The 22,379-nt window shown below is 46.3% G+C and overlaps 1 protein-coding gene and 1 pseudogene across 7 annotated transcripts in view, besides 1 other annotated feature; both read right to left on the bottom strand.

The window, feature by feature from the left end:
* The window catches only part of WDR25 (WD repeat domain 25), a 153,819-nt gene that overhangs the window by 48,161 nt on the left and 83,279 nt on the right, over positions 1 to 22,379 (bottom strand). For all 7 annotated transcript variants that reach the window (NM_001350947.2, NM_024515.6, NM_001350948.2 and 4 more), the window contains one exon: positions 13,975 to 14,122. In NM_001350947.2, coding sequence (NP_001337876.1) covers positions 13,975 to 14,122 — 148 coding nt within the window. The remainder of the gene's footprint in view (positions 1 to 13,974; positions 14,123 to 22,379) is intronic.
* On the bottom strand, positions 65 to 1,262 carry HMGN1P25 (high mobility group nucleosome binding domain 1 pseudogene 25; annotated as a pseudogene).
* Positions 15,261 to 16,166: an enhancer, noted in NCBI's record as "OCT4-NANOG-H3K27ac-H3K4me1 hESC enhancer chr14:100932314-100933219 (GRCh37/hg19 assembly coordinates)". NCBI's record gives its function as "activates a minimal SCP1, AML or CMV promoter by ChIP-STARR-seq in naive H9 embryonic stem cells {active_cell/tissue: H9 hESC(naive)}" and the evidence as "EXISTENCE:reporter gene assay evidence [ECO:0000049][PMID:30033119]".

Genomic DNA, 22,379 nt, shown 5'->3' with positions numbered 1-22,379 from the left:
AGATGGAAGATATTCACCACTGGCCACATGGGAGACATTTTCCACTTCTTTTTTTTTTTTTCTCTTTCATAATTGAGATTTTATTGGTTGAGGATCGTGCAGACATTTCAATTTGTACACAATTCTTAACACATGTAACAAAAATCTAAAAAGCCATGTATTGTAATTATTTTTGAAAGTTATTCCAGTGACTTTCCAGGTCAAAATTTGGAAGCAAATTGTCCTTAAGAGGCTATCAAGTACCAGTATCTTCACATGCTGATCAGCTGTTACAGACGTCCCACCAGCTCACAACTGAAGAGCACCTACACTACATATTCCAATCTGTAATCTTTCACAGCACAGTAACAAAGTTATTAGGAAAACAGGACTACCACAACCAAAGATTTACAGAGTCCACACAATTCTGACAGGGAGAGCAATGACCAAGGAGTGGTTTTCTTTAGGAAACAATTCTACTAAAAAACAAGGGAATAGAAGTAATTTAAAACATTCAAGACGTTAAATGCAGGACTGACTCCATATGGCCATTTAACATGCTTTGTATTATAGGATATAAAAACTAACCCCCCATGTATGGAATGTTAAGCTGACACCCGAGACAGTCAAAGCCTCCCATAATTCAATATCCCACACTATTTTCTGGTTGTACCAAAAAATAAACAACCAGCAAATGATTTCACCTCTTAAAAAAAAAAAAAAAGCATTTACACTTAAAAAATGGGATGAGGTGGGATTCCCTCCTTCTTAAAAATGTTTCTAGAGCTACTAAAAAACTTGCATTTACAAAATAGTTGATAAAAATATTCCTCTGGATTGTACAAGAAGGGAGACAGGGACCACTGATAAGACATGGTATATGGTATTCTATCAGACTTGGTTTCTTTCTCTCCTGCTTCATCAGAGGCTGGACTCTCCTCAGTTTTCATTTCCCCATTTTCTGCAGGTAACTCTACTTTAGTTTCTTGGTTAACCACTTTGGCCTGTTTTCCCTTTGCTCCCCTTTTCCCTTTTTTTTTTTTTTTTTTTTTTTTTTTTTGCACTTTTTTGTCTGAAGATTTATCCTTCGCTGCTGCCTTTTTCAGCTTCAATTCCACTTTTGCAGGAGCAGGTTTAGCTGACAACTGCACCAGTCTCCTCTTGGGCTCTTCCTTGGTGGCCCCTTCAGCAGAGCTGACCTTCCTCTTGGGTATCCTGGCAATGGGGAGGGTGCATGCCAGGTGCCTGCAGAGCCACGAGAGCCTTTGCAAAGCTGGGCTGCCCGGACATTTTCCACTTTTATCCACCATCGAAGCAAAGGATTTTGTGAACATTTTGCTAGTAAAGCCCCATTTCCCTAATGTCAAATAATGGCTCCTGCAACTAATCAGGTTAATAATTGCATTATCATATTTGTAACCACCCAGCTCAAAATCCACTGAAATTTTCACTTAAAGGATTTTAAAACAGATTAGAAAAACACTGTTCCCAGGTTAAGGGTGAAGATATTCAAGATTTTAATAGGTGACAGATCATTTTTGGCAACAAAAATCACATAACAATGGAAACAAAAACATCTGTTTTCAAAATGTTCTCTCCATAGTAGAAATTTTTTAGAAAGTAGTTACTCTTTCACCCTTTGTTCAAGCATCACATTTGCCATGATGGATAATAAAGTGTGTTGATCTTTTTTTTCTAGTATCTTCTAGGGGCCTAAAACTGGTAGTCACTTATCAACAGAGAAAATTTTAGAAATACTTGCTTTTCTGTAAATGAAGAATCTATACCTCTTTGAGCTCCACAAGCCCCTTGACTATTTTGCTACAAGATGCAGTGCAGATAGCACAAGAGATTTTCATGGTCACTCTTGTGTCAGCACAATGTTGTCAAGAACTGGCTGCTTTAGGCCATCCAACCCGTATGGAGAAGGGACTGTAAACAACACCCTAACGGTCCAGCCTGAGGGGAGTAGTGAAGACAAATGTGGTTTTCTGCCTGATGGGATGCTGAAAAGCCACTGAAAACTGGAATCACAAACAGCAGTCTTTGGCAAGATGGACAATGCTTGATTCCTATTCTTCAACTACAAGAGTATAAAATGGGAATTGATACGAAGCAGTCCCCGACCTTTTTGGCACCAGGGACAGGTTTTGTGGAAGACAATTCTTCCATGAACCAGGGGTTGCGATGGGGGTGCTTTCGGGATGAAACTGTCCCACCTCAGATCACCAGGCATTAGTTAGATTCTCATAAGAAGAGCACAACCTAGATCCCTCGTATGCGCAGTTCACAATAGGGCTCCGTTCGTATGAGAATCTGATGCTGCTGCTGATCTGACAGGAGAAGGAGCTCAGGCGGGAATGTTCACTCACCCACTGCTCACCTCCTGCTGTGTGGTCTGGTTCCTAACAGGCTATGGACAGGTACCAGTCCGTGGCCCAGGGGTTGGGGATCCCTGTTGATATGGACAAAGACTGGGAAGAGATTCACTGAAATGAAATGAATTGTTCTAGGGGTAGTAAGATAACTTTTTAAATTATACTAACAGATTTGTTGTAATACTGTTTTTCTAATAAATAAAGATTTTTTAAGTCATCAAGGAGATGAGCAGACTTGTAAGATGATGGTCTTTGTGCTATGTCCCTCTCATTAGATCAGCAGACAAACGACTCTCTCAAGTAAACCAAAAAACTGCTTCTTGGTGAATTGATCTAATTGGAAATCTGGTATTCCTAAAAAAAAAAAATGTACTCTTCTTTTCCTTTCCTGGAACTCAAGGTGGTACATAAAGCCTTCTACAGAGCATGACAAACCCCACCTTTTAAGCTACAATTGGTGATCAGAAACCAACCGTGATATGACCAACTAGCAAGTCCCCCTGCTCAGGGAGCACAGGCAGAGGGCTGTCCCCTTGGTCTCCATGTGCCTATGCCAGGGACTCAGAGCAGCAATGTGGCAGCACAGAGGCCCCAGGACACTCGCTTCAGCCAAGCGGCTGGGGGTCATCTGGAGACTGCAGGCAGGGACCACCATCACAACCCCTAGACAGAAAAGGAGGACACGGATACCACTGCAGTCCCCACACCACCGAGAAGGCCCAGGACTGCCAAACTCTTTCTCCCCACAAGGACAACTGCGCTTATTGCTGAGAACATTCAGTGGCCGGCTTCTTGCTCACTTGGAATTCATTGCCAATCCTTAAATCCAAAAGGAAACACAAACTCTCTCTGCCTGGAGAAAAAATGTTCCTTATTTTTTAGACCATAGCATATAACCATATGCTTAATTTCAGAAATGGCAGTGAATTATCCATATGTTTTTTTCAAAAGTGCAGTGATACAGTCTTGCCAACAATGGGGAAGAAAGATGAGAGAAAATGTGAAAGCTGAATTGCTAAAAGACGATGATCGAACTTTTTCTGCTAAAACAAACAAACAAAAAATCTGAATGTTATTTTTTCCTCAACCCCCTAAAGAGATTGAAAATCTGTCTTTTAAGTATTTCCATTTAGAAGATAAGCTGTAGTTTATACATTTTTCCTATTTGTACTTATAATAACTAGGCCCTTACTGCTTTTCTTTGTTAAAAGGGTTCAAAACTACAAGATTTTTAAATTTTTTAGTAAGTTTCTGGATACCTAGTGAAAAGACTAAGGTAGAAATCTCGCTAACTAAGAAGTTCTCAAATAAGACTTTGTTTCAGAAATTAGGGCCATAGCCATCATTATCTGGCACAATGTTGGAAGCAGGAGATGGTATAGCTGAGGAGTTCAGAGCCACGCAGACCCAGATCCCATCCCAGCTCTGTCACTTCCAGTGGAGGGGCCTTGGGCAGGACCTTGCACTGCTCTGTCTCACACTCTTACAAATGTAAGGTCGTCATGAGAGCTAAATGTAACGCGGTGCATGAAGCCTTCCAAAGAGCATGGCAAACAGCAATCAACAAAAGGGAGCTATTATAGTTTACAAAATTAAACCCCAAATTATTGAATTCACAATTGGTTCATTTACAAACTAAAACCAAGGGATACAGGTTTTTTTGTTTGTTTTTGTTTTGTTTTGTTTTGTTTTTTTGAGACAGAGTCTCGCTCTGTCGCCCAGGCTGGAGTGCAGTGGTGCTATCCGGCTCACTGCAAGCTCTGTCTCCCAGATTCACGCCATTCTCCTGCCTCAGCCTCCCTAGTAGCTGGGACTACAGGTGCCTGCTACCACACCCAGCTAATTTTTTTGTATTTTTAGTAGAGATGGGGTTTCACCGTGTTAGCCAGGATGGTCTCAATCTCCTGACCTTGTGATCCACCCACCTCGGCCTCCCAAATTGCTGGGATTTCAGGCGTGAGCCACGGCGCCCGGCTGGGATACAGGTTTTTAAATAGCAATAACCTCCACAGATTAATGCTTTTTCAGCTTTTCTCATGAGGCTTTGAAAATACAACGCCCTGGGCTGCCCTTTACATTTGTTAAAGAGATATGGGTAAAGTCTGGAAAATATTCATCAGTGAAATATCTTGAACATGAACACTAGCTGTGCCAGAGGAGAAGGTCTTAACTTGTCAGACGGGCTCTTCCTCTCTACCTTTTCATAAATCAAGGAGCTTGTTCTCCTGGGCAATGTTACTTTCAGCGCAATGGTTAGCTGTTATATAACCTTTAACCTTAAGACCATCTTGCTTGTTTACCTGTTTGTTATAGAAAATTCTGTTTATTCACTGTATGCTTATTATAGGAAACTGAGTTTTAAAATATTTAATCCACTAGCACTGACTTTATTGATCTCATTATAATGAGCTAAACCAGTGTAAAAACTGTTTGGATCTTCTTGGAGCTAGGAAAAATCACTTATTTTCTCCTTGAATCAATAATGATACAAATAAAAAAATTGTTAAAGCAAAAACAAGTTTAAAACACAATGCAGAAATTCCATTTGTTCTACTGACTCTATGACCAGTGCTTCCACCCCCGTATGACTGTGATAAGGCATCTGGGAACTCTGGAATAGTGGCTCCTCCAAGCTGCCCCTCTTCCTTTCTCAGGTGGAGATATCCAGCTTCCCAAAGTGACCAACCATGTGGCCGGGGCAGCACCACCTGTCCATCTTGCTAACTAAGAAGTTCTTAGTTAACATAGAAGTTGCAAACGTCTATACTAGGAATCCTATCATCATGCAGGGCTCCAGGCCTGTGAGGGCCTTCCTCTTCCATTCAGCATGACTGACTCCCAGCCTAGTTCCTGGCACATAATAGGTATTTCGTCCAGGCCACATGAAACCCAAGTATGGGTCTCCAGGAGAGAAAAGAGAAGCTCATGCCCCCCTCTCCAGGGAGCTCAGAGGCAGCCCTGGCAAAGCAGTTCACAGTCAAGGAAGGGGAACAACATTTATCAGGAGCCTGTTACCTCCAGGCCTGTCTGGAGCTTGCACGCATCACACGGCACCCTGGGTGGTAGGTGTAATTAACCCATCTCTCACAGCCAGGGAAATGGAAGCTCAGCGAGGTGAGAGACTCGCTCAGAGCCACATGAGTCAGCCACACTGAGACGGAGACTGGCCCTGTCTAATCTCAAGGCCAGCTCTCGGCACCCTACCTTGCATCGCCGCCAGTTATTCGTGACCTTTGCTTCTCCTAGTGCTTTGTTCACATCCACAGACTCATGAACATGTAGGAAAAATGTTGACAAGGGAAAGCTTATGCTGTTGGCTTGTGGTAATTGAGCTTGTGTTTCCAGGCAGTAGGCATATGACTCACTTCGCTAAAATCAATATCGTTACACTCATCCTCTGGGAAGTATTCAGCCAGCTATAAATTTAGCCATCCTGACTCAAAGTTAACGAGAAAAGAAACTTACTAACTTTCAAATCAAACTTTATGCATCAGAAACAGGGGCCATCTTAGCAATCCGGGCAAAGGCCTGGGAAGGGTCTGGCCTGAGAGCCAGCTGGGCCTGCATCTGAACATTCCCCATCAGCTGTGGCCCTGCATCGGCCAGCAATCCTCTCCAGCCCTGGTATCCTCATCTGTAGACTCAGGACCACAAAAGGTGGTTGTGAGAATTAGCAATAATGTATGTAGGAGAGCTAAGCCCCAGACAACTGATAGGGCCCAATAAACAGTAGCTGTAGCATTGTAATAATAGTAGTAACAGAAGAAATAGTAGTAGTTGCAGTCATTTTTTAAAATTTGTCTTCTAATAACATACTTACACCAGCTCTTTCCTTCCCATTCTTTTTTGTTTCATTTTAAATTAATTTTAATTGATAAATAATTTTATATATATATATATTTGGGGGTACAATGTGATGTTTTGATCTGTATATACATTGTAGAAAGATTTAATCAAGATAATTAACATATCTATCACCTCACTAATTTATTTTTTGTGGACAGAATGTTAAAAGTGCATTCTTTTAGCAGTTATGAAATACACATTATTAACTGTGGTCATCATGCAGTGCAATAGATCACCAAAACTTATTCCTTCATTCTAACTGAAACTTTATACCCTTTCATCAACATCTCCACTTTCCATATCCACCCCTACCCCCAAACCCCTGGTAACACCTTTCTACTCAACGCTTCTACGAGATCAACTTTTTTAGCTTCCACATATAAGTGAGATCATGCAGTATTTGTCTTTCTGTGCCTTCGCTTATCCCACTTATTGTAATGTCCTCCAGGTTCACCCATGTTGTCAAAAATGACAGAATATTCTTCTTTTTTAAGGCTGTAGAGTATTCCATTGTGAATATTCACCGCATTTTCTTTATCCACTCATCTGCTGATGGACACCGAGGTGGCTTCCATATCTTGGCTACTGTGAACAGTGCTGCAATGAATACGGGGGTGCAGAGATCCCTTCCACACACCGATTTCAATTCCTTTGGAGATACACCCAGAAGTGGGATTGCAGGATCATACGGTAATTCTATTTTTAGTCTTTTGAAGAACCTCCACACTATTTTCCAAAATAGCTGTACTCATTTACATTGTACAAGGATTCCCTTTTCTCCACATCCTCACCAATACTTGCTATCATTTGTCTTTTTGAAAATAGGCATTCCAACAGGTTTGAGGTGATATCTCATTGTGGTTTTAATTTGCATTTCCCCATGATTACAGATGTTGAGCATTTTTTCTAATATCTGTTGGCCATTCATATCTCTTCTTTTGAGAAAAGTCTGTTCAGATCCTTTGCTCATTTTAAAAATCAGGTTATTTGGCTTCTTGCTGTTGAGTTAAGTTCCTCATGCATTTTCCATATTAGCCCCTCACAAGATGTATGATTTGCAAACTTTCTCTTCCAATCCACGGGCTGTCTCTTCACTCTGTTAACTGTTTCCTTTGCTGTGCAGAAGCTTTTTAGTTTGATGCAATTCTTTTGCCTATATTTGCTTTTGCTGCCAGTGCTTTAAGTCCTATCCAAAAAATCATTGCCCAGACCATTGTCAGCCACTGCTTTTAATTCTCTGGACAAGACCGAATGTTCCAAAATTTAAAAAATAATAATAAGAGTTCTCAACTTTCAAACAAGGTGTATCCCAGTGCTTTACTAGTAAGTTGGTTTTCTGAAACTCGGAACTCGCCATTCCAATAGCAGACATGCCGTAAACACGTTTGGGCTCCAGAGTCAGTCAATAATGGCAGCCTTACCTAACAAGGGCACCAAACTGTGATGCAGCTGCAACCAAACACACACACGCCAGACATCACTACTGTGCAGTCACGGTCATGAACAAAACAAGAATTTGAATTAGAAACCATCTTTTCTTTGCCTAGAGGGCTGGCGTGAGCTGTGTTTGTGGAGATGTGAAGGATCTCTAGGCACTTTTCCAAGTGGCAGTTAAGGGCTGGCATGGTGTTGTAATGAAGTTTAATAACATTTGATTTAATATCCGTAACTAGGGTCAGCTTCTCACTCCAAAGAAGTAAGGAAAGAGAAAACAAGATTGAGCCAGAGGAGAAGCACTTTCAGAGTGAGAAACGAAGGATATTCGTGGCAACAGAGACTGGCCTTGGAAAATAGACCCACTCACAAGTGGGCAAGAAAGTAGGCGGCTGCTAACTGGACAAGGAGGCACATAAAGGGCGGCAGCCAGGGAACCCTCATCAGCTCAGACCTCGCTAGGCTGTGGAGCCCCTCTGAGCCTTCACTTCTGGATCAGTGGCAACAGTCCCTAGGACTCAAGGAGCATGTACATGTAAGTATCAGATGCTTTGTAAATGTGCCCACAAGCTTTCTTCTACTTCCTTTGGGTCTGTGGGCACCTGAGGGATACCTAATCAAGTCCTCCTAAGCTACGCTAGCGAAACTCCAGCCACAGTGCCAGAAAGCCAAAGAACGGAGAAGCCCAGGCCCCTCCACGGCACTTCTTCCAAGGACCGGCAGGAGCCAGCACCACCTCAAAGGCTTAGCACAACAAGGAGCCTCCTTCTGTGGCCCCTTCTCCAAAGCCCAGGAGCTCTTGGGGCTCTTTGCCATGGTTTTCATTTGGACACTTCTCACCCTTCCCATGCCAAGTGGTCTAAAGTCGTCATTGGAGCGTGGCCATCCATCACTGAAGAGGCATCTTTCCCTCAGTGGCCCACTTAATCAGAGGGATCAGTCCCCATGAGTCTGGAGCACTCCTTCTTCCCAGAGGCCCCATGTTATCCTCTGCAGGTGGCCAGCTGCTGCCCAGCAGGCTCCCCAGGAGTCAGGTTAAGTTGGGTTCCCCATTGTTTCCCTGTTTGTTCACAGCAGGGAAACAGACGTGGGGAGGGCATGCCACACCATACCTCAACAGCAGGAGCTCTACTAGTCACATGCCAGCACTGGATCCCACCTCTGTCACCTCAAGAAAGTCACTGACCATGCTAAGCCTCAGTTTCTGGGTCCATGAAATGGGATTAAAAACACTCCTCTCACAGGAGGAGTCACATAAGCAAAGAGTCTACCATCCACTCACTCATTTCACCTCCACACAGGCCAGGCAGCGTGCTGGAACCCAGGGCACATAGCCCAGGGCCCAGCCCACAGCAAGGGCTCGATAACCTGTCATTCTCTTTTTCCTTGTAGCATTTCTGTGAATGGAAGCCCCAGTCATAGATTGAAAACAAGGGAGAGACAAGAAGACACCTCTTGGAAAGCAAGGAGAAATGGTCATTTATGAGCCCAGTCCCAGTTGGCTGCTCACTTCCACACAACATGACTCCCACCAAAAGACACTGGGACACCCAGGGCAGGAGGAGCCAGCCAAAAGCTGGGGACAGCAGAGCTGCAGGCTGTGGGCATCTGAAGGAAGAGGGCCATAGGCCTCCTGCAGCCATGAGTGCCTGGGGCTCTGGAGAGGGTCAGGCCGGGCAGGCTGGGGGTCTGTATACCCACTCGAGAGCCCTAATAAAGAGTGCGTGTTGTCCCATTACCAGGAGGAAGGGGAATGTGGAGGAGATGCTGGGAGAACCCATGATGGCCCAAGGCCTCCTCCCAGTCTGCCCCCAAGACCCACGCAGGGGACCAACAGCACATCTGTAAGCTCACTGAGGGGACCAGCAGGGGCCTCTGGATGATGATCGAAAAGTGGCCCCATGTGGGGAAATGGCCTGCCAACAAGGGCCATCTGGACAGCTTAGCAGGAACAAGGGCCTCATGGGCCATGACGGAGGAGGAGAGGAGTTCCTTGCTGAGGACCTACCACACGCCAGGCATTCTGCAAAGCACCCTATATGTGTTATCACAGCTGCTCCCTTCAACAGCCCCAGCACCAGGTGGTGTGGTAGAAACAGGTGAAGAGGCCTGGTTCGGGGAGGCAGAAGAGCCAACACCTGTACCCTGTCTATGTGCCCTCTCACGCGTGCTGCCTCCAGGATCTGGGAGGTAGACCCAGGTGGCACTGCACAGATGGCTCAGAGGAGCCAGCGCACATCAGGAGAGCCGGCCCATGCACAGGAAGGAGGACAGGGTTCCCTGCCCAGCCGGGGCTCCAGGGCTCCAGGAAGAGGAATCTCCTTTGCAGCCATCAAAGGTAAAGGACAGAGGCCCTGCATGCCTCTACAGCTGCAGCCTCGAGGGTCAGGCTGGGACACCTGCCTCAGGGCCTGGAGTCTGCAAGAAACATGACAGGACCGCTTAGAACTGAGGGAGCTCTCCGGGGGATTCTGAGGAGACTGGCTGAGCTGGCGTGTGGCACAGCTGACTCATAAGACAGGTGACACTCAGGGCCCTGGTGGAGTCGGCCAGCGTTCCCTGAGGCCACCTCAGCCTAACGTGCCACAGACGTTTTGTTAGGAAGATTACAGACTGAAACAAGAGCACCAAAAATAATTGTGAGCAAGTTTTATTTAAGTGTTGATTCATGGTTGTTCTATAAGCCAACAACCTGTCAGAACTATAAATTAATGAGATAAAATGGTGCTGGCCCTCCGTATTTCAGGCCAGGTATTGACATTACAGAATCCACAGATTTTTAACTGTATTGATTGAGGACACCAGGATAAATGGCCTTGGCGCCAAATTAATGACAATGGGCACCAAGTGACTAATTCCCAAAGCGCTGCGGTGAGAACGCCCTGCACTGCCTTCTCCTGGCAGGGAGCCCTAATTAGATTGAAATGAAAAAGCCAAATCACCAAGGGCGGAAAAAGGCAGATCCAGTAGAAAGGGAGATCAGACTCAGCGAAGAGAAAGGACAAGACAAGTCAAAGCGGGACGAAAGCCACAGGGCCTGCAGAGCCCACCCCAATGGCTAAAGAGAGCACTTACCAAAAGCTGGAGGTGGGATGTGCAGAGATAAGGTAGGAGACATAGGGGGAGACATAGGTGGAGGCCCCCCGACCAGCCCTGGCAGTCCCTGATGGGCTTCACTGCCCAGATAGGAGGACCTGGCAAGGACAAACTCAGCACATCTTACCCACACAGGTACTGAGCAGCTGCTCCAAGCCAGCCCTGGCCAGAGGATAGAGACACAAAGACCACCAGGACAGGCTCCCATCCTCATGGAGCTCCCAAGCCAGCCAGGGAGAGGGACATGGAAACCAACCACCCTCAGCAGCAGAGACCCTGTCTGTGTGTGCAGCGCTTCCCCAAGGGTGAGGTCCAAATCCCTCAACCATTCTCTCCCAGGGGCCCACCACACTCTCCACTGTGGCCTCAGCACCAAGTCCTACACGCAGTGGGTGCACAATAAGCAACTGCGGAGTGAACGAAACGGGGCCTTCAAGAGTTGAATTCAACAGTTCATTCAACAGTTGAATGAACCCAGTGGTGAGCGCCATTCCTAGCAGAGGGATGGAGTGAAGAAGTCCTCAATCACCTCCCCCACTGGATGGTAATGCCCTGGGGGCAGGGCCATGCTTTTCTTTACACACCCAACACACCACAGCTAGAGGGGCACATTGGGCCTGGGGCCAGACAAGCTGTTCTCCAAACGCAGTCCTATCACCAACCAGGCAAGGCATTCTACCTCCCACTCCTCCAACTCTCCACCAGGGGCTGCAGGTCACACAGGACCAGTGGGAGCTACCAAGGAGGACTACTCAAAGCACAGACCAAGCCCTGACTCTTGCCTGCTTCAAACTCAGCAATGGCCTCTGCCCGCCAGCTGCTATGGCAGTCCCTGACTCATCAGACAGGAGGACCCTCTTTGAATGTCTAAAAATTTCAGAACCCCCTGTCAAGACACCCCACTCACACCCACCCACACATACAATTGCATGCATTTGTTTAACTTCTGTTGATTGAGAGAATAATGCTTAAGGGCCACTATGAACCCATCAATGCCATCAAATGAATTTGATTTGAGTAATCCGACGGTGTGTGTGAGTGAGCTTGTCACTCTGTGAGCGGTGTGCTACCCACATGTGCTCACCTGACCCACAGGCTGGGGTTTCCCCTCCTGCACTCCTCAGACTCATCTGCCCCAGCCCCTGCACCCCATATTACATCCTGCTTTGGTTTCCATGCATACTACATGGAACCCTGTTCCTGTGTCAGCTCTGTCCTTGTTCCATCTGCAAGAACCTACTTTCCTCCTCATCAACCATACCTCCTCCATCCTAATTCTCTGTCCACCTAATCTGTGGCTCAGCTCAGGTTTCACTTCCTCCAGGAAGTCTTCCTTGATTTTCCAATCTAGATGTTCTTGCAATTCCTGTGTCTTTCTCCATCACTGCAATTTGGGATTGACTCTGCACTTCTGTCTTCTCCAGCAGACAGGAGCTTCTCCAGGGTAGGCACTGGGTCTTGTTCAGCTCTGTCTCGCCTATCAAGCATATCTTATGGGACATGCAGACAACAGAGTGTAACAGTCAGGCAGCAGGCTTTGGGGCCTAGCAGACCTGCGTGCATCCTGGCTCTGTCACTTGCTGGTTTGTGCCCCTGGCCAGTGTGTGTACAGCTGATTCTGATGGCGCCTGTCTCAAAGGGTGAGTGGGGCCTAAATAAGATGCTGTATAGAGGCTGTGGAAGAATGCCCAGCACACAGTGCTCAGTAGTAAGTGCTGCCATCATCAGCCCAGTCATCACCATCATCAAGTGGCATCAAACTCCCTGAGTCTGGCCACTCTGCAAGGGGTTAAGAGAATCAGTAAGACCAGGGAAGTGCTTTGTGAGAAGAAACTGCCACACACGGCACGGTGGGAAGGGCACAGAATCTGTAGTTGTACAGACATGGCTTCAAATCCCTGCTGGCTATGCACCACTGGGAGGCACTGAGCAAGCTGCTTTGCCCCTCTGAGCCTCAGTTTCCTCTCCTTTAAAATGGAAATAATCACTGCTGGCAGCTGCAGTGAGGATTAGACATGCTGTGTGCAAAGCCTATAGCACGTGGCAGGGGCCCTGTGACCATTAGTACTGTCCCCTCCCCTACTGAGCATGCAAGGAGCTGCAAGGCCGCCCACACTCAAGGTGGAAACAAACCACCTTCTCCATTTTCCCTCTGCGTCTCCTGGGGGCTGCTGGGCATGAGTGGCAGGGGTTGGACCAGCAAGTTATCATCTCCTTCTTGCCAGACCCTAGGAGAGGCAGGGCCCAGAGCCACCACCACTGCGGGGCTAGGCAGGCAAGATGCTGGCCTGAGGGTTCAAGGGGAGCCCCAGGGACTGGTGTGAAGTCTGGCCTCTCCCTGGGCTCCTGGCAGTGGAGCCCAGCAGAAATGAGACCGAGGAGCTCTGGGGAGGAGGTAGTGTGGTGCTGAAAGAAGCTGGATCCTGCTCATGGAGGGGGATAAAACATTTTTAAAAAGGAAAGAAAGAAAAGAAAGAGAACATAGAGGGAAAGGAAAGGAAAGAAAAGGGGAGGGGAGGGGAAAGGAGAAAGAGAGGAAGGAGCTCGGACTGGGAGGCAGATGGCAGAGGTGCGAATCCCAGCTCTGTCACTCCCTGGCAGTCCTCACTGTAAACCCCGGAGAGAGCCCACCTGGGGGCTGTGGCTGCGGTGGGTATTGACAGTGCCTGTTGCACAGGAGCGCTGAGTAAGGAAAGTTCCTTCCACTGACTTCTCTCTCCTTCTCGCCCTGCTTGTCAAGAGCCCTCTCAGGATTTACCCGGCACGAATCCATCCTACCCAAGTGCCTTTTCAGTGTGGGCATTAAAGCAGAACTCGTTTGAAGACTTTCCTTATGAGCTGGAATCATTTCTCACAGACTTTCAACGATAATGAATTGACAGGAATTCTAACCTGATTCCAACCAAAGGACACAATGATAAAGTTAAATCTATTTCAGCACAAATTGCATGTCAGAAGTAGATTAAAAAGCCACCTCTTTATCCAGCCCCATGGCTTGAGGCTGAGACAACCTTGGGGCTCTGTCCTCTGTGTTGGCTGGCAGAGGCCCATCCTCTGTGGGGAGTCGCAGTTCCAATGGGCAAGCAGTCTGGAAGCCCTCTCACCGAGCACGAGCCCACCCTGAGGCCCCTCTCCCTCTGCCACGCAAGCGTATACAGCTTGTGGCTGCGTGCCCACCAGAGAACCTTCCCCAGGGAGAGAGCTGCCAGCTCACCTCAGGGAGGTGACACAAGAAACGCACCTGTTTCAAGGTCTGTTAGGTGCAGCGCGAAGTCAAAGCCACCACTGAGGATGCGCCGGCCACAGGGAGCCCACCGGGCGGCCCGCACTGCCTCTGTGTGCAGGGAGTAGGTCTGCAGGCAGTGCCCGGAGTCCACGGCGTTCCATACCTGCAGGCAAACACAGACAGCACCAGGTGTCACAACAAGGGCCTGATCTCCAGGGCTCAGCTCGACCCCACTGTAGAAAGAAAAAGGTCTCGGTGGAATTAGATTCTCATTATTTTACCATCAAATCTATATCTAGATGTTAAACTTTTCATTGCAGAAATGTAAAGGCTTGGGATTGGTAAGTTGGGAGGATCATTTCCCCAAATTTTTTCTGGGGTTAAGAAAACTGCATTCTGGACGGGTATGGCAGCTCACATCTGTAGTCCCAGCACTTTGGGAGGCCAAGGTGGGCAGACTATTTGAGCTCAGGAGTTCAAGACCAGCCCAGGCAACATGGTGAAACCTTTTCTCTACATAAAATTAGTTGGGCATAGTGACACATGCCTCTAGTCCCAACTACTCAGGAGGCTGAGGCAGGAGAATTGTTTGAGCCCAGGAGGCAGAGGTTGCAGTGAATCACGATTGCACCACTGCCCTCCAACCTGGGTGACACAGCGAGACTGTCTCAAAATAAAAGAAAAAAGAAAACGCATTCCTGTGTCTGCCGGTCACCTACCCAGCCCTTCACACCTGTTTCATCCCTGCAGCCGGGTGGGAGTCCTGCACCCTCAGCATTCACAACCCTATCCCAGGCTCACCTGCGTCCCTGGCATCTTATCCCAGGCTCGCCTGCATCCCTGGCATCTTATCCCAGGCTCGCCTGCATCCCTGGCATCTTATCCCAGGCTCGCCTGCATCCCTGGCATCTGTCCTGCCATGGACACTGCCCAAGTCCAGGCTATTTTCATGGGTTCTGCTGTAAGACAGAGATCCAAAAAGGAATGTGCTACACTCGTATTTACAACCAGTCAAAGTACAAATATCTGCCGTAGGGGCAGCTGTCCTTTTGTTGGAGGAGAGAAGGTGCTTTCCCTCCTTCCCATGCTGGCCTTTCATGAGGGTATGAGGCTCATGAGAGAAAACCCTGTTACACTCAATGACTTCTGAAAAATGATCTAAGATATCAAGTATAAAACTGCACATTCCCAGAGCCAGGGCCACACCACGTGAGAGCCCCTGAGCTTAGCTTTCCACCAGCTCTCCCAGCAAATGCCGCCAAACACACCGTGCAGCCCAGGGGAACTGCCGGAGAGTTTGGAATATGTCAGGGTAGGCCCAGGGCCTGACACACAGAGGTACTCAGCAGTGCTAGTCCCCTACCTTCTTGTCACTGCAGGATGAGGGCAGTGCTCTCACCTACCACCCAGGTGGCTCAGAGGCTGAACCCGAGAAGCAGAGGAGCACTTGCAGCCAGCGTGTGGGAGTCAGAACGGAGTGCCTCCCACCTGATACGGCTGCTGGCAGGCCTCGGGCCTTGGCTGAGTGGCTTTGCCTCTCTGGGCCTCAGTCCTCTCCTCCCTGAAGTGGGAATAAGAAGAGCGCCACCCCGAGGGCAGTGGTGAAGGCTGAGGAGGTAATGGCTGCACAGCACATGGCATAATGGCTGGCACACAACTGGATGTGGATTCCAGACCTGTTCCATTAGGAAAACCAAGCTTCATTTTCTTTAATAAGAGAAAAACCCAAACAAAGTACACCCATGCACTTCTACCAACCTGATCCCAGGGATAACCTTCTCATTAAAGACAAGAAAATTCAACCTGCCAAGTCCCGAATGTTCTCAGAATGCAAAGGATCAGAGCTCTGAAACCTTGTTTCCTGGGATTATGTAAATGTCTACACTTAAGAAAACAAAAGGTCAAGAGTAGCCTTCAAAAAATGTGAAGAGAGCTCAGTTCCTTTCTTCCTCACTAAGGGTCAATAGCTGGGGTCTCAAACTGAAAAAATCAAGAAACAGCAGTATTTACATTTAGAAACACGACACAGCCAGAAGACACAGCCAGAAGACTTCAAAGTGGAATAAGAATTCACGGGAGGGAGATGGGGCACAGGGAACTGCTGTTTTCCAAAAATATGTATGAATATGAGTTTAATTTTATTTAAATAGTAAAATAAACGAGATCTACAGGGCTTACATGGTTAAATGGTAAAAAAGTTAATATTAAGTACATAAGTCAAGCTGCATATACGAAGTACAATGCCATTTAAGTTTTTACATGAAACACCACCTTGTACCCATTAGGATGGCTGCTATCAAAAAACAGAAAATAACAAGCATTGACAAGGATGTGGAAAAACTGGAACCCTTGTCCACTGCTGGTGGGCATGTCAAATGGTGCAGCCACTGTGAAAAACAGCATGATGGTTCCTCAAAAAATTAAATGTAGAATTATGACATGATCCAGCCATTCCACTTCTGGGTAAATGCCCAAAAAGCTGAAACCAGGGTCTCAAAAAGATACTGTACATCCATGTTCATAGCAGCATTATTAATAATAGCCAAAAGAGGGGAGTAATCCAAGTGTCTATGGATGGATGAATGAATTGTAAAAATGTGTTCTATCCATACAGTGGAATAGTATTCAGCCTTAGAATGGAAAGAAATCTTGGCACTTGCTACAACATGGATGAAACTTGAAGATATTATGCTAAGTAAAATAAGCCAGACACATAAGGACAAATACTATATAACTGCACTTATATGAGGTACCCAGAGTAGTCAAAATCATAGAGATAGATAGAAAGTAGAATGGTGGTGGCCAGGGCTGGGGGAGGGGGAATGGGGAGTTGTTTAATGGGGACAGAGTTTCAGTTTTCCAAGATAAAGAGTTCTGCAGACAGATGGGGTGCAGACTGCACAACACTGTGAATGTGCTTAATGCCACTGACCTGTATGCTTAATAGCGGTGAAGATGGTCAATTTTATGCTGTGTATTATTCTGCCACAGTTTTTAAAAATACACACACACACACAAAGAAAAAAAAAAGCAGATCTCATTTATACGTGAATTTGTAGCCAGGCTATAAAAACATGCATGAGGAGGGCCATCACTCCTAGGAAGGGAGGGAAAGGGGCAGGGCTAGAGGGAAAAGCTATGAACACTAAGCAGCAGCTCTTCCAAAGAGAGGGTGGAACATGTAGGGGAGAGTAGATAAGGCAGGGGAGATGAGATGGGGTAGGGGAGAGGAGATGGAGTAGGGGACTTGAGATGGGGTAGAGGAGAGCAGATCGGGTAGAGGAGATGAAATGAGGTAAAGGAGATGAGATGGGGTAGGGGAGAGTAGATGGGGTAGGAAAGAGTAGATGGCATAGGGGAGAGCAGATGGGGTAAAAGAAGATGAGATGAGATGAGATGAGATGAGATGAGATGAGATGAGATGAGATGAGATGAGATGAGATGAGATGGAGTAGGGGAGATGAGATGGGGTAGGGGAGGATGAGATGGGGAGGGGAGATGAGGTAGGGGAGATGAGATGGGGTGGGGGAGATGAAATGCACTGGGTTGATGCGATGGGGTGTGGGAGATGAGGAGAGGGAGAGATGGAAAATGCTCTCCGAAGAAAACATGCCCAAATGTTTCCTCTGAAACTCATTCATTTATTCATTCATTCAACAAAGATTTCCTGAGGACCTGCTATTAGCCAGGCATTGTGTAACAGGAAACAAATAAGACAAAAATCTCTGCCTTCAAAGAGTTTATATTCTAGTGAGGGAGACAGACACTGAACAAATAAAAATCCACAGTCCTTAAGGCAGTGGTGAAGACTGAAGTATTAAAAAGTAACCAGGAAAGGGCTCTATAAGGTCAAGGGAAGGGGCTGAAATGGTGGCCAGGGAGGACCTCTCTGAGGAGGTGACTTTGGAGGAAGTCCTGAAGGGGTGAGAAAGCCAGCTATGTAGAAATTGAGGGAAGAAGCTTCCAGGCAGTGACAGGAGTATGCCTGGCATGGTCAAGCAACAGCAAGAAGGGCCACTGCAGCTAGAGAAGTGAGCAAGGCTGGGGGTTGGCAGGGAGGTGGTAAGAAAGGGATGAAGTCGGAAAACCACAAGCCGTTGGGGCATCCCAGGGTTCTGCAGGTGGAACGGAGGGGAATGAGGGCTGGTTCCACTGCAGTAGGACCACTCCAGCTGCCATGCAGGGAGGAGAATGAAGGGCAAGAGAGATGAAGGAAGACAATCAGGAGGCTTCTGCAAGAATCCAGGGAGAGAGGAAATGGCTTGGAACAGTGGGAGGCAGTAGAGAAGTGGCCTGCCTTGGAGGGTAGAACCAACAGGACTTCCCTGGACTGGAGGTAGGATATGAGGGCAAGGGAAAAGCCCAGGACACATTCGCAGTTCCTGGCCCAAGCACTGAAAGGGGTGGAGTTGCAGGGATGGGTCAGCCTGCAGAAGGGGTAAGTTTGAGGGAAGGAGGACCTGGAGCTCAGTTTTGAATGACAGACAGCAGACAGTATAAAGACTCATTCCCGTACCAGTGTGATGTTCAAAAGAGAGGCCCAGGGTAGAGGCTGAGCTGTGGATGCCATTGTGGAAATTGTGCCGCAGCCTTGAGCTGGATGAGCTCTCCTAGGGAGCAAGTGCAGACAGGACAGAGAGGAGTCCCACATCTCAGCCCCAGGCCTCCAAGTTTCACAGGCTGGGAACCAGGGGAGGAGAGAGAGAAACCAGAAAGGAGTCTAAGAAGAGGCCAGTGAAGTGTGGGAAAAAAACAGAAGAGGAAAGTCCTGGAAGCGTAGAGAAGAGAGTGTTTTGACAAAGAGGCTGGTCACCATGTCAAATGCTGATGGGTGGGTCCGCTGAGAATGAGAACAGACACACCTGGGGATTTGACAATCTCAGTGACAGGTGTATAGGTATCTGTTACCTTCTATAATTTTGAGTATGTTTAAAACATTTCATATTTAAAATAAAAAGTTAAATTAACCAAGACGGAGAGGAGGAGGAGCAGAAGAAAAAAGGAAGGGAGAGAAGGAGTGATGGAGGAATTGGGGAGAGGAGAGAAAAAAGAAACACAGGATGGGAAACGGAAAGGGAGGAAAAGAGAAGGGAAAAAGGAAGGAAGGAGCAGGGGGAGAGGAAGGGGTGAAAGAAGAAGAGAAGGGAAAAAGGAAGGAGCAAGGGGGAGAGGAAGGGGGAGAGAAGAGAAGGGGAGAAGGGAAAAAGGAAGGAGCAAGGGGGAGAGGAAGGGGGAGAGAAGAGAAGGGGAGAAGGGAAAAAGGAAGGAGCGGGGGAGAGGAAGCGGGGAGAGGGAAAGAGAAGGGAAAAAGGAAGGGGGGTGCAGAGAGGAAGGGGGAAGAAGAGAAGAGAAGGGAGGGGAAGAGAGGATGGAGAGGAGGAGAGGACGGAGGGAGGAGGAAGAACCAGCTTGGGCAACATAGTGGTCTCATGCAAGAAAGAAGAAATTACAAAAAACTTGAACTCTATGAAGTCCAAGGCCAAAAGCAGCAAACTGGAATGTTTGAATTCTTGTCCAGGGGAACTCCCAAATCAGCCACGGAAACATGTAAGGAGATCCATCAATCTGTAAATCGTCTGACAAGCTCCCCCTGAAGTGAAAAACGCACACTTGGCTCTCCTAGTAGATGCACAGACAACGACAGCATCTGAATCAATGCAGACCAGTCAGCTACCTCTCAAAGCTATCCAGGGTGAAGGAGGGAAGAATCTTTGCCAATTGGTCTCCTTAATTGAATTTAATGTTCACTGTCAGGTTTTAAAGATTAATTCCCCAACATTGCAGCAGACTGAAGTGCGTGCTTTTTTCAATTAAGTAATTAGAGATCCCAAACTGCCTTCATAGAATTAAGGAGTTAAATCTTCTGTCAAATGTTCCAAGATGATTTCATGTATTAACTAGAGACATTCTTTGTGTCCGACAAAAGTAACAGATTTGAAAAGAATATGACAAGTAAAATATGGTGCAGTCACTTGTCGGTGCCATATTTACCACAGTTTCTGTGTCCTCGTTACCAAGACATGGCCCCACCAGGAGTTCCTCACAGTCTCCAAAGATTGAACAAGTATTGATCTAGCCACAGGTCATGTTCTTTCTGCCTGCCTGCCTTTCGTTTTTGGTTACAAAAAATACAGTCTTCTTGTAAATTATTCAAACTATACAGAAGTGCAAAAACAAAATCCCAAAGGAAACAGCTATAGGATTGTTGTTTCTCTGATTTCATTGGAAATATGTGTGCTCTGCCCAAAAAAAAAAACAAACAAAACAAACAAAAAAAAACAGAAAAATACAACGAAAATAAGAGTCATCCATAACCCCATCACCTGGCTGTCAAACTTCTGGGTAAGCCTTCGCCTCCCTCGTGGCCCTATCCTACTCACTCTTATCTCGGAGACCCTCCTAGTCAGGCCTGGCTCCTGGCCTCATCCCACCTCTTGACAGTCCCTGTTGCCCCAGAAAATAATTTTAGAGACCATTCTCAAACTCACACAGTTCAGCACAAGCCTGTGCAACCAGTGCCTAACCCTTTACCAAACGGATGGGATCAGCCCATTTGCCAAATCTTTGAGAAGCCCTTCATGATGTTTGTGTTCTACAGCTGGAGTTGCACTGATTCTAAAATATCTGGGGAAACACCTTAATAATATTGAGTCTCCCAATCCATGAACAGGATGTCTCTCTCCATTTATTTAGGTCTTCTTTAATTTCCCTAAGGAACAGTTTGTGGTTTTTTAAATGAAAAGATCTTGAATGTCTTTTGTCAAATTTATCTCTAATTATTTCATAGTTTGATAATATAAATGGTATTTTTAACTTTTATTTTCAGATTGTTGATTTCTCGTATGTAGAAATACAATTAATTTTGGATATTGACCTTGGATTCTGCAACCTTACTAAACTCACTTTTTAGTACTAGAAGCTTTTTAAAATAGACAGAGTGGAATTTTCTTTTCTTTTCTTTTCTTTCCAAGTCAGGGTCTCGCTCTGTTACCCAGGCTGGAGTGAAGTGGTGCGATCACAGTTCACTGTAAAACTTTGAACTCCTGGGCTCAAGCAATCCTCCCACCTCAGCCTTCCGAGGAGCTGGGACTGCAGGCACACATCACCCTTCTAAATGTTTTTATTTTTATTTTTGTAGAGCTGGGGTCTCACTATGTTGCCCAAGCTGGTCTCAAACTCCTGGCCTCAAATGATCCTCCAGCTACAGCTTCCCAAAGGCTGGATTACAGCATGAGCCACTGTGCGCAGCCTGGAATTGCATATAGATGATCATGTTATCTGCACATAAAGGCAGTTTTACTTCCTCCTTTCCAATCTGGATCCTTTTCTTGTCTTGTCTTATCACACTGGCAATCTCCAGTAGAATGCTAAATAACTCTCCGTGACACCCTTGCCTATTCCTGATCTCACTGGGAAGGTGGTCAGTCTTACACAGTTAAGAACGACATTAGAGCTAATGTTTTTTTTTGGTGCCTCTTATCAGTTTAAAGGAGTTCTCTTCTATTTCTAGTTTGCTGGAAGTTTGTTTTTTTTTAATCACTAATGAATGTTGGATATTGTCAAAAGCTCTTTCAGCATCTATTGAAATGTTCATATGGTTTTTCTTTCATAATTAGTCATTAACATTATAGTTCAGTCATTAATGCTGAGTTACATTGATTTTCAAATGTTAAGGCAAGCTTACATTCCTGGGACAAATCCTCCTTGGTCATGATATGCACATATATGTAGTTGGATTGATTTGCTAAAATTTTATTTAAAAATTTTGTATCAGCCGGGTGCGGTGGCTCACACCTGTAATCCCAGCACTTTGGGAGGCCGAGGCAGGCGGATCATGTGGTCAGGAGATCAAGACCATCCTGGCTAACGCAGTGAAACCCCGTCTCTACTAAAAATACAAAAAATTAGCAGGGCGTGGTGGCGGGCGCCTGTAGTCCCAGTTACTCAGGAGGCTGAGGCAGGAGAATGGCATGAACCCAGGAGGTGGAGCTTGCAGTAAGCCGAGATCGCGCCACTGCACTCCAGCCTGGGCGACAGAGCGAGACTCCGTCTCAAAAAAAAAAAAAAAAAATTTTGTATCTATGTTCATGAGAGATATTGGTCTCTTGCTTTCTTCTCTTATGATGTCCTTTTCTTGGTTTGATACCAGGGTAATCATGGCCTCATAGAATGAGTTGGGAAGTGTCCCCCTTCTTTGCTATTCTAGAAGAGTTTGTGTGTATATGTGTGTGTATGTGTATGTGTATATATATATATATATATATATATATATATATATATATATATATACACACACACACATATACGGATATATATATATATCCATTTCCCAGGGCTGCCATGACTAGAGTACCATAAACTGAGTGCCTTAAACAACAGAATTTTGTTGTCTCACAGTTCCAGAAGCTAGAAGTCTGAAA

Source organism: Homo sapiens, chromosome 14 (genome assembly GCF_000001405.40).
Source record: "Homo sapiens chromosome 14, GRCh38.p14 Primary Assembly".
In the NCBI taxonomy this organism is placed as follows: domain Eukaryota; kingdom Metazoa; phylum Chordata; class Mammalia; order Primates; family Hominidae; genus Homo; species Homo sapiens.
Note: the sequence above shows the minus strand (reverse complement) of the source record. Positions and strands in the feature narration are given on the sequence as shown.